This window comes from Homo sapiens, chromosome 4, assembly GCF_000001405.40.
Source record: "Homo sapiens chromosome 4, GRCh38.p14 Primary Assembly".
In the NCBI taxonomy this organism is placed as follows: domain Eukaryota; kingdom Metazoa; phylum Chordata; class Mammalia; order Primates; family Hominidae; genus Homo; species Homo sapiens.
The window spans coordinates 79,284,004-79,296,472 of record NC_000004.12 but is presented as its reverse complement, the minus strand read 5'-3'; the positions used below and the strand labels follow the sequence as shown (position 1 = coordinate 79,296,472).

Here is a 12,469-nt window from a genome sequence, read left to right as displayed (position 1 = left end):
TAATAAGCGCTCTGTTTTATAAATGTTCTATAAGTGCCTAATAAGTTCTAGGCACTGGGTAAGGTGTAGGAATACAAAGATGAACAAAATGGTGTCCTCTGTCAAGAATGGCTTATTGGTTAAAAGGATGACTTCCAGAAGTTGAAGCTTGGCTTCATAGTTTTAAGCTGTGTAACTCTGGACAAGTTGCTTACCTTCTTTGTGCCTTAATTTCCTCATGTGTAAAAAGGGGATAATTAGTAACATTCCTCAAACTGTTATGATGAAGATTAACTAGGTCAATGTAAGGCAAAAGATTTTCTGTCATATAATACAGGATTCAGTATATATTTGCTACTTCTACTTCCACTTCCACACAGAATTACACAGAATGAAGTAATTTCAGAAGGAAGAATTTGGTTTAGTGAAAGTAAGACATTTCAAATAGCAAAATAAAAGAAAAGGGATATCTTTTAAAAGTGGTAAGAATCCATTTATTAATATTAGCTTAGCTCAAGAATGAATATAAACAACTAGACAGGCTTCACCTAATCTAATACTTTAAAGACATGTTACTTCTCAGAGGAATAGAACTCTCAGAACAGAAGAACAAATTGTATATTTTATATTAAATAAATAAGAAGTTCATGGTTATAATAACTCAATCTGTTCTGCATTACTTTATCAATGATGGAGATAGAAAATACTATGAGAAGCATGATACTTTATCCTTGACTAGTTTTTCTAAGCTGTCTTTTTAAATTGAACAGCAAAGAGTTTTTGCAATTGAAGATTATTTATACTACCCATTTAATGTCTAGCATTTTGAACATTTTCTTTCCTGCTTTTTTAAAGTAATACAATTTCCCAGTGTTTAGCACAGGGGATATTACGGTTTGGGGGGATAAACCAACTCCTGAGAGTTTAAGTTTATCTACAGGTCCTTCCTTATGTGTCTAAAAGTAAACTCTGGAGTACTATTGTGAGTAGCATTATCAAAGTTGCTTTTGTGTGTCAGCATTTATTTTAGTTTTGTTGTCAAAGATCATGCAGTTTTTTTGTTTCTATTTATCAACCTAAATATCCCTTAGTCAACAATCTTTTCTGAAAGCCTGTAATCCTGAAACAGATTTCCTGAGCAAGATGGAGTTAAATAAAACACTCATTTTCTAGGACTTGGAACATTTGTCCTAATTTCACACCTTATGCTGCAGCTCAGTCAGTGCTTGAAAGGCAAAGCATGCAGCCAAAAAGCAAGTTCCAACATCACCTCTTCTATTGCATTGCACCTTTTGACTCCCTAAGACAGAATAAGATGCACTAACATGCCTCTTTGCTTTACAGTGAAGCAGTATTTGGATTATGTCAAAATCAGAGACCTGAAGAAAGATGCTTAATTTACATGCAAACCCTGTTTCAAACCTTGTCTACTATATTCTTTCTGAGACTCTTTATTGTTTCAAAAATAATTCTCAAAGTAGCTTCAGTAATGGAAAGCAATTTATTCACACAGCAAATATTTATTAAACACCTACTATATCCATATCACTGAAATCACTATAGTATGGGATGAGGGAATGGGGATGAACTATAGGCGTAAATTATACAAAAATAGGCAATAAGAAGGTTTTTCCTTCAAGAGTTCAGAATCTAGTTGAAAATATAAGTAAGAGTATACAAATTGTATATTATTAGAAAACTATGGATCATTTTTCATTTTTAGCATCATGTCTACTTTCAGATACATAGAAATGCTTATAGATATTTAAATTTAAAATCCTCTTTCCTCGAGGATACAGAGTAATGTTTAATTTATTTATAATAAACTGGATAAAAGAACCTTAGAGAGTGATTTGAACAAAGCCACCAGATAGAAATAAAAGACAGGAATCTTTCCTAGCAAATATTAGAAATATCAAAGATTAAATGAAACTGATTTTAATAAACAATGATTTGTTTCTAATTTGCATTTAGACATGTTCATAAACATTGCCTTTTATGATTGCCAAAATTTGATTCGGATGTGCATTGTCTCTATTCTTATTTAGCAATGTGTATATAAACTTCAATTTCTTTCCCAATCACTGATGTAGGAAAATCAGTATGTGCCCTCCACAAACATTGGTTAATTGTTTGAATCTAGTTTTCGCAGCTAGATTCTTCTTTACCCTGTATTTCTGTTCCTTGATTGTAGGGTAAGTTCAAAGGGAGACGATGTGGTAATGAGTCCAAAGGGCTTATGAGTCATAGGCTAAAACCTTAGCAACTTGGCAGATGAGCTGTGCTTAAAATTTAGAAATGGGCTCAGCATTGATGTACTATGGAACCCATATCTGGAATTTCTACTTTGTCTTAGTCCATTTTGTCCTATTACAACAGAATGCCACAGACTGAGTGATTTACACTTAATGGAGGCCAGGAAGTTCAATATCAAGGTGGTGACATCTGGCAAGGGCCTTCTTGCTGCATCATCCCATGAAGGTGAGAAGGTAAGAGAGGGTTTGAGAGCAATGGGGACAAAGGGTCCAACTCATCATTTTATCAGGACACCACTCCTGAGATAACTAATCCATTCCTGAGATAATGGCATTAATCCATTCAGGAGGGCAGAGATGTCTTGATCTAATCCTCTCTTAAAGATCCCACCTCTTAACACTGTTGCACTGGGAATTTAGTTTTCAACACATGAATTTTGGGGGACACATTTAAACCATACCATACTTTTAAAAAGGAAGTTTGTGGAGGAGAGAAAAATGGACCAGTTGGTCATTCGATTTCTCACTTGTTCATTACCATATTCTCATTAGATTGAGTTTAATTCATTTTATATATTTTCTGGGTTGACCATGTAAACATAACTAGCATAGTGGTTAAGAACATGGACTTGAACCAAATTTGCCAAGTTTGAACCATGCTTCTGCCATATAAGCTTGAATAATTTCTTCACTTCTGTCTTCATTTTCCTTATCTGTATAATTAAAATAATGGGATCAACTTCCAAATGCTTTGGGAAAATTAATTGACTTGATATAGGTAAAGTTTTTAGAGCAGTGTCTGTCCATTTTAAGCATCTCTAAGATTTTGCCATTACTATATTGTTATTCTTTAGAATATTATTGGGATTCTCTACTGTAACTTTTTGCTTCACATACAATTTTAGAAGAGTCAAGAAAAGTTGGCAGCACCGAATGAGGGAAGATCAGAGTCTTTCCCTTTGTTTTTAAACACTAAGGTAACCATTTTTAAAAAATATCTAATTTCTATGACATGACCAGTCACCAAAGTTTTTCTTTCCTGTGGTTTAAATGAGGTCTACTTTAGTAATCACGATTTAGCAAGAAGTCAACAGAGGGCATGCAAAACACAGTGTTAAAAAAAACTTTCACTCTTATTTATACAACAGTTTATATTGAGTGTTAATATTTAAATTCTTTAAAAAACTATACTTTTTTTCTTTATTTCATCAATATAGACAACAAATATAATTTCTTTTGTCTATTTAAAAAGAAGAAAAACAGTAGATAAGCAGAGAAATCTAACACTCCTCTGAAATCTAGACATAGCATCTTTTTAATCAAAAACAACAGGTTAATCCTGGCTTTGGAGTCAGAGAAATCATATTAAAATGCATACAGTGTGATTCATTCAAAACCTGAATATAGCAACATATAATCCTATAAAGCCACAGAGATTTTTAGATCAAAGCAAAAAAGGTAAATCAAACCTGAAATGAATGGATTAACAGAAATGGGAGCGTTACTGTAATATTCCTTTGTACTGAGTAACAGAGAAGCAGATTTTGTCAAATCTTGCTTTCTAATTCCCATCTGGAAAAGCCTTGCTCTGGAAATGAACAGGTTTGAAGGAATGCCTTTGACATCTGTAAAGTTAAAAAGCATCAATAATTGGAATGGGCTTAATCCCTCATTCAACAGCAGGTACTTTATACGCAATCATAAGAAGTGATGAAAGTCAGGCACAGATGTACAAATTGTTAGATTTAATCAGATTGGTCCTCTACCCCTGGTTTACTCTATTCTGTTTTAGCTTCTGCTTAACCTGAGTTAATGGAAGGAGATGGTCATATATGTAAGGAACAAATCCAGGTCAAAAATCAGTTTGGAGATGTCGGGTGACAACTGAGTTTAACCCATGAACCACCAGATATAGAAAGTTTTCATTAATAGTTCTTTGAATAGTATGAATCATCATTCATACTAGTCTATATTAAACTGATTCTGTGAAAAGGGCCTAGTGTTTGCTCCTCTGAGATTCTGCAATAAGAAGAGGCTGTGTGTCAAAGAGAAACAGTAGTGGGTGGTAGGGGAAAAATAAACAGAGGAAGTAGACCTGACACTTAGGGGTTGACAACATCAACTGTTTCTGATGTCTAAAATATTTATTGGAGCGGCACACACATTTAGATGCTCTGAAATTTATTCTGTTTTCACAGTTCCAGCTGTTAAGTAGCCATCTCTCTCTCCAAATAGTGGTATAGAGATGGAGAAAAGAAGATGAAATTTGTAATTGCACAATCAAATTACAGTATGGATTTAACTAGAAATTGATTCAAAAATTTATGCTTATCTACCCACATCTCAAATTTTGGGGAAGCATTTTAATTTCAATTATTTACTATTACTATGTCCTATTGGAAGTCTAAAGAAAAACTTGAAAATACTATATAACATGTTTCATCAGAACCTCTAAGCATATTATTGCCTACTAGATTTTTTTTTATTTTACATTTATTTATTTGTTTGTTTCTTTTTTGAGACGGAGTTTCACTTTTGCTGCCCAGGAGTGCATTGGGGTGATCTTGGCTCACCGCAACCTCTGTCTTCCAGGTTCAAGCGATTCTCCTGCCTCAGCCACCCGAGTAGCTGGGATTACAGGCATGCACCACCACGCCCAGCTGATTTTGTATTTTTAGTAGAGACAGGGTTTCTCTATGTTGGTCAGGCTGGTCTCGAACACCTAACCTCAGGTGAGCCACCAGGCCCGGCCCAATTCTTTTTTATTTTTAATTTTGAGACAGGGTCTCACTCTTTTGCTCACGCTGGAGTAGACAGGCACCATCATAGTTCACTTCAGCCTCGATCTCTTGGGCTGAAGTGATCCTCCTGCCTCAGACCCCCTAGTAGCTGAGACTACAGTTACACACCACCATGCCCAGCTGATTTTTTCGTTTTTTTGTAGAGACAGGATCTCAATATGTTGCCCAGGCTGGTCCCCAACTCCTGGTCTTAAGCAATCCTCTGGTCTCAGCCTCCCAAAGTCCTGGGATTATAGGCGTAAACCACTGCACCTGGCCCAGATTCTTTATATGGTGCTGTACACGCTCTTTTAAAATAAACCAAAAACTTGGATAATAAATTATATAAGAACTAATACTACTAGAAATGGTACTATTTTATTTTGTTTCCCCATTTGTAGTAAAACTGTTTTTTTCAAACTCAGTAATATATATATGTGAATGTGCTTTTAATTTCTAACATACCATATTGTACATACATATTAGTTGTCAGTATTCTTGTACTTCCACAATGATAGAAATATCTTAAAATTAAGGAATTTAATAGTCAAATAGAGATTTACATTCAGAGAAAAGAAAAATACCCTTTTCAGTTTTGTCTCATTTTCATGCAAATAATTTTTGTTCTTACTCCATCTTTATTAAATCTTAATTTCAGTATAAAAAATCTGCAGACTCCATATGCAGCAAGTTCTCTCCCTCTTCTGACCTCAATCATACACAAAACTTTAAAACAGAATTATTTCTTACCATATGGGATCTGAGACTAAGATCAAACCCAACCTAGACAAATGCCATGCAGCAAGTTGACAACTGTTCCTGGAGTCCTGGGCAATGCCTGGGAGAGTGCCTGCCAGGGCCTACTGTTTTCAAACGAGTTTCATTTCTCTAACAATTTAAATCTGCCAAGAAGAAACCGAGACAATCAAGCTTCGTGCCAAAAAGCCCCAAGCTTAAGCGAGAGATGTATCCTCTCTTTAGCCTGCTGATGAGAGAGAGAGCAGAGGGAGAGGAAAGGATAAAGATTCATAATGAGTAGGACAGAGGCTCATATGCTTTTGGAATGCCACAACAGGACAATTTCTGGCCCTAATGATGTTACTTTGTTGAGCTTCATATCTGGGATAGAGCACACCATTTTCCTTTTTCTGTTCTGAGTTCCATTACATTTGGGATTGAATATTATCTATGCCGTATCTTCCTCCCATCTCCCCATCCTAACCCTCCCACAACTGTGTCAACCAGAGAAACATCCCACTAGAGAGGCTCCTGGTTCAATTTTGGACATAAAATCTTGGGACCAAGGAAACCTTCCTGGAGAGACCCAGCGTTCTCTGCTGTCAGTTTCCTGGCCCTTTGCTTCTTTATATCACCTCAAACTCACCTTCAAAAAGGAAGTAAACAAGAAAGTCAGAATATCTATCATATGGACTACAATTTGTGAGAAAAGGAGAGCAAAAGAGAGGGCCTGGTGGTCGCTTTCTACCCCAAAGAGCCATATGCACTGAGAACGGCTGAGAACCTCCTCTGCCAACCCAGCAGCAGCCTTCCTAACACCTTGTGTTTGAGAAATGAGAGACCTACTGTTTATTATCACAGGTCCAGGTGGTAAAAATCCAAAGTTTATCCAAGCAGATATCTTCAATCGTAATACCAAATGACAATAAATTGAGGTAAAATGTTGCTGTTGCAAATCTACAAATGAGCTATACTGTGTACTATTTTGAGGTAAAACATTTTCAGAACTACAAATTTATGATCCTTCTAGTAGCTGAAATATAATCTTTTGAATCATACTGTTCTGAATTCAAATCCCAGCTTCCCACCAACTAGCTGTGTGACTGAGCAATTTATTTATAAATTGTCTGAGTTCTGGCTTTTTCTTCACAAGGAACATCAAAAACATATTCCACAGGGTAATTTTGTGAGGATAAAAAAACGAGATAATTGATGTAAAGCACATAGAACTATTGCAAAGTTATCACTGCTGCATGGTAAGCACTTAGTAAATAATGGCTATTCGTAGTTTTCAATTTGGGATAAATGTATGATGTTAAATGAATTTGCTAACTTTGGCCTTAAGACAATCACTGCAAATATTTTGCTTTTGAAATTGTTTTGAGATTTTTCTCTCAATTGCCTTCCATTTATCCTGAAAAATCCATTACTTATGACATGATATCAGAGTCATGTAGAAGGCAGATTAGAAAGAAGAGCTTTATAATCACAACTGAGAGGGAATTTGAAATCCACATTGTGTTGGGAATAAACTGAGACACCTTTCTGGAGGACAACTTGGCAATGTCTGTCAAAGCCATCAGAATTTCATTTCTAGGGATGTGCCAAAGGGCATTATGAAGATATAGCTCTAGTGATATTCACTGCAATTTTTAAAAAATTAAAAACCATTTGTATGTCCCTTGACAGAAGATTGTTTAAATATATAATGATACATCATACCAGTGGAATGTTATGTAGCCATCAAAAATATTGTAGAAAAATATTGAATGACATAAAGAATAATCATTTAATAAGTGAAAAAGTATACTGAAGACAATATTACAGCATCCTGTTTTTCACAGAGGAAAAGTCTTCAGAGGATATACACCAAAATATTAACATCTTATATCAGCATGGTAGGATTATGAATGACTTTAAGGTTTCTGTTCTTGATTTTCTGAAATTTAAATGATTTTTTGAACAAACATGTATTGTTTAGTAATTTTTAAATAATATAAAATAAATTTACTTGAGTTTTAAATTTTGCTATTTCATTGAAAATTCAGAAATGTAAATAATGATATCTATAAAGCCAAGCATAAATCCACACACAAATTTATCCACACGTATTTATTCATATTTTCTCTAAAATGCCAGTATATTGGTACATACTATGTTTGCATACACAAGCATACTAACAGATGAAAAATTCCTACCAAGTTCTCATAGTAAATCTGTGTATTTCTTCAAATATTCATTTAAATCCCAATTTAAAGCTGTATTTAAGAAATAGTTGCAGCATATCTTTTAATGCCTCTTCCTTGTAAAGTCTTCAAATGCTGCTGACCTTGCATAATGTTTTTTTTCTTACAACATATTAATTATTGTTCTGGCACCTCTGGCCTACTCATGAAATCAATGAAGTGTGAAATGCGTCTGTGCAGAGTAATATTTCATATTTGGTACTTTATGTATTAATTACTTTTCTGTTTCTGCTAATACAGACTGGGGGAAAAAACACCCCATTCTGTAATGAGGTGTCAGTGGGGAAAGAAGGAAAACAGCAAACAATTCTGATTTGCTGACCTATCGAAAGCTACTAAGAGAAGAAAGAGAATCTTCTGCACCAGTTCCCTCTGCTGAGAGTGTCTCCTTCTGTAAGCCTGCTACTTAGCAAGTGAGGGGCCTTCTCATAGTGGAGCCTGGCTTTCTTGTGTTTAAAATAACAGATGTGAGATTATGAGAAGCAAGTCACTCAAGTCACACCTCATTGTTTTGAGCCTGACATATAAAATAAAATCCAAAATCCAAAGTTCAACTCAATGTCAACCAAAGATGGAATACAGAGTGCAATTAAAATATATAACAATTTACCAAATTATAATCTGCAAAGAGAAAAAAATGTGGGAAAATGCTAGTCTGTTAAGATCCTATTTAGTTGTCACTTCAGCTATCCAACAGTTAAAATATAAATCAGTTTGACAATCTGAAAGCAGCAGTTTTAATCCTGAATTCCAGGGGTGCTCTCTCTCTCTCTCTCTCTCCCTCTTTCTCTCACTCACACACAGACACACACACATGCCAGTCATTCAGCCTGAACAGAAAAATTCAGGTGTGATATTTCTTGATTCAAGAGCTGTGTTAAGCAGTTATAAAGCTGATGTAATTTACAGCAAATAATAAAGCTAACCTAAGAGACCTCAGCCTCAATTTGCTAAAACTTATTACACCTCATTGGCCACTGAATATCCAAAAGAATAAAAAAGAAAAAAAAAACTTACCTGAATAAGAGACTTGACAAGTATTAGCCTAGTGAGAAATGATTGGCTTAAAATTGCTCTGGCTACCCCGAAAGGTTCAGATGAACACTATTTATGATGTTATGATTTCCTATTTCCTGAGTTATGTCAAAGCCAAAGGAGCTACTGGAACTATACTAATGAGTCCATAGATGTTTTCAGATGTCTGTTTGACTCCTGAGTCTAATTAAATGTCCTAATATGACATATGTGGTTCTCCACTGAATATCCCAGCTGTGGAATTAATACGTTACAAAAATACACACACACAATTATCTCAAACTACAGTGAGTTTGAGGTTATAAATATAGCAATTATATTGAATTCACTAACATAGCACTTTGTAAAGTGCTATAAACATGCTAAATAAATGACCAAGAATGTGTGACTATTAATAACTAGCCTCTTGTTAATGACACCTCACAGCCTTGTGAAGGAGAGTGCGCTACTTTGGTTTTGTACCATACCATCTTTAATCCATATTTTTCATGAGAATTTTTTTGTAGCAACATGTATTCCCATGTGCCAAAATGTTTTGGGGGTGATGGGGGTAAAGAACTCATGGGCAAAATGTTATGATGTCAAAGAAAAGTAACAAATGGCTGGTTTACCCTAAATTAACAACCCAGTCCAAAATAATTCTAACAGTCTCAGAAGTTATTCTATAATGGTAAATTTGGTGAGGTGAAATATTTGCCCACAACTTTCAAAAATTTCCATTATGTATTAGCAGATACGTAATACATATTCTTTATAGTACAAATCCCTTATTGACAGTGATTATTATACTCGAAAAGAAATAAAAATGTAAAAAGTTATTTGAGCGAGTCACAGCATTTTTACATGTGTTTCAATCAACTGTAATCTCATGTGACTAGAGATTCTCAGATCTGATAACTTTCTGAAATATGATTCAGATATTAAAAATTACATTCATGACTAAAGAAGTAGGAGACATTCAAATATATTAAACACAAATCTATAACACACATATACTTTGAAACATCTATAAACACTTCCTTTAAGAAACATGTAGAATACACAAGGCAAACATCCCTTCACCTTATTTGCCCACCTCATCCTCATTGCTCAAGCGTTTATTATTAAGAGGTTGGTGTATATTTGCTTTCTATTTTAGACTGCTTACTGTGTCACAATTTGTATACTGGTACAGTTTATTCATTTATTAAGAAATCAAGTGTGTATATTAGGATGATTTTAAGTAAATTTAAAAGTAATCATTTCAGCCATTGTGGGTTCGTAGAATTCTCTTAAATTTAGTTGATCTGAGGATTATTAAAGAAAATGAGCAACATATGTTCTGCTTAGAATACAGACAGTAAAATTTCAGAGTAAAATCAGAAGACTGTTGAATAGAAAGAGGACAAAGGTTAATGTCTGGAAGCAGAAATCACTTCTCATAAATCACTGGCTTATAAAAATAAAGTGCTTATCCTTTCCTTTTGTTCAAGGTGTAATTGCCCATCCTTGATACTACCTATGGCAGTTATATAATACACTGTTGGGAGAAAAAAATGGAATATTTGAATGCCTAAGGATGCATGCAGTATCATTCTACCAAAGCTTCCAACATTGAAGTGTTTGTATTATTAACAGCCTCTAAAATTTACTATAGTGACTAATTTGCTATAGTCATGAGACAGAAATCATGTAGCATGATTTACACTACTAGAAAATCTTTACTAACTTGGGCACCGTAAATTTGATCATTTAATAATTTAGTACTAAATCTCTTCTTTTAATGAAAGGAGAGTGATCATGATTATTATTAATGCTATTTTTAGTTAGTTTTAAATTATGCCATTATGATAAAACATTCTACTTCATTTAATATTTCAACTCAAAATTAATTTCCAAAGTCTTTAACTCTAGTCAGTCTGCATAATTACAAGGTATTGTAATACTCTTGCAATTGAATTTCAGAAGTGCATTTAACAATAGTGAAAGTTAAGTGAATATCTTATTTAGGTATTGCAGCTTAGAGTTGCTCTTGGTTTTTCAGACTTCCAACAGACAGCATTCTAAATCAGAAATTAATTTTTTAATTTTTGAAGAAAAGATAAACAATAGGCAAAGCCATTTATATCTGTTTCTGATAAAAACACTGCATAGTTTTAAAGTGCTGTGATGAATAGTCTGTGTGTTCTTTCAGATCAGTGCTTTTGAAAAATAAACAACAGTTAACATGTCACTTCAAAATGCTCTCATGTGCCACCTTCATCCAATTTATGGCATCTGATAAATAGAAAGGTGAATTTCAACATTTTGTTGAAAGCAGTAGTTGTTTCACATGCTGACAGGTGTTAGCGTAAAAGCAACTTGCAACTTAAGACCACCATCTACTGGTTCTGTCCAATGCTGCAAAAGCTACAGTGTAATATCTGATTGATTTTAAATGCACCCCACTAAAGAATCTACCAACACTCTTTCAAAAAATGTGCTAAATTAGTCACCTACCTCCTAACCAATACTTTAATACTGAGTATGCACATTCTTAAAGACCTCAATCATTCTTTTTTTTTTTTTTTTTTTTTTTTTTTGAGACGGAGTCTCGCTCTGTCGCCCAGGTGGGACTGCGGACTGCAGTGGCGCAATCTCGGCTCACTGCAAGCTCCGCTTCCCGGGTTCACGCCATTCTCCTGCCTCAGCCTCCCGAGTAGCTGGGACTACAGGCGCCCGCCACCGCGCCCGGCTAATTTTTTTTGTATTTTTAGTAGAGACGGGGTTTCACCTTGTTAGCCAGGATGGTCTCGATCTCCTGACCTCATGATCCACCCGCCTCGGCCTCCCAAAGTGCTGGGATTACAGGCGTGAGCCACCGCGCCCGGCCCTCAATCATTCTTTAAGACATCAATCATTCTTCAAGAAACAACAATAACTAGAATCTGTTATGCTAGAGGCTGTTACCTATGATGACTAATGGTAGATTTTTTAAAAATAATCAACCTGATACTCTTGAATCAAACTTGATTGATAGACATGGATATCAAAATTTATGCTCTACCTCAGAGGAAGATACCCTATGACAGTCAAGATTCGATTTAAGAAGTAAATAGAAAAGCATTTTGTTGATGAGACTCCTTTATACTGATTCATATTGCCTTCCATTACTCCAGAGCCATGGTTAAGCATTGACTTTGGTGGGACACTATAGCCCTGAGAGGGACATGGGATTGTTACTTAGGGTCACAACCTCTGTAGAGCCTTTCAAATTAATATGATTAGTAATTTACAGAGTTGGATAAAAGTTGAGCTAAATTTCTCAAGAGTTTGCTGCCTTAGGGCTGTTGCCTCCCAAATGGACTTTTGTTTTTGGGTTTAGAGACAAAGCATTGCATTTATAAAGTTTTGTTTCTTTCATGTACTGCCCCATCTACCCTGAAAAGATGTAATTTCTTGTTTTCCAAGTTCCTCA

General features: G+C 34.9%; 1 protein-coding gene and 1 long non-coding RNA gene across 9 annotated transcripts in view; one reads left to right on the top strand and one right to left on the bottom strand.

Annotated features, from left to right (window-relative positions):
- Window positions 1–12,469, bottom strand: part of LINC01088 (long intergenic non-protein coding RNA 1088) — a 337,052-nt gene that overhangs the window by 12,327 nt on the left and 312,256 nt on the right. The gene's annotated exons all lie outside the window — the stretch shown is intronic.
- Window positions 1–12,469, top strand: part of NAA11 (N-alpha-acetyltransferase 11, NatA catalytic subunit) — a 170,686-nt gene that overhangs the window by 29,589 nt on the left and 128,628 nt on the right. For 2 of the 8 annotated variants that reach the window (XR_001741339.2, XR_007057977.1), the window contains exons 2-3: window positions 2,359–2,468; window positions 5,673–7,047. The exons of 2 other annotated variants lie outside the window; for them this stretch is intronic. The gene's annotated coding sequence lies outside the window, so the exon portion shown is untranslated. Of the gene's footprint in view, window positions 1–2,358; window positions 2,673–5,672; window positions 9,776–12,469 lie in introns of those variants that run through there. 4 more of the 8 variants (XR_007057979.1, XM_017008777.2, XR_007057978.1 and 1 more) reach the window with 3 other exon arrangements.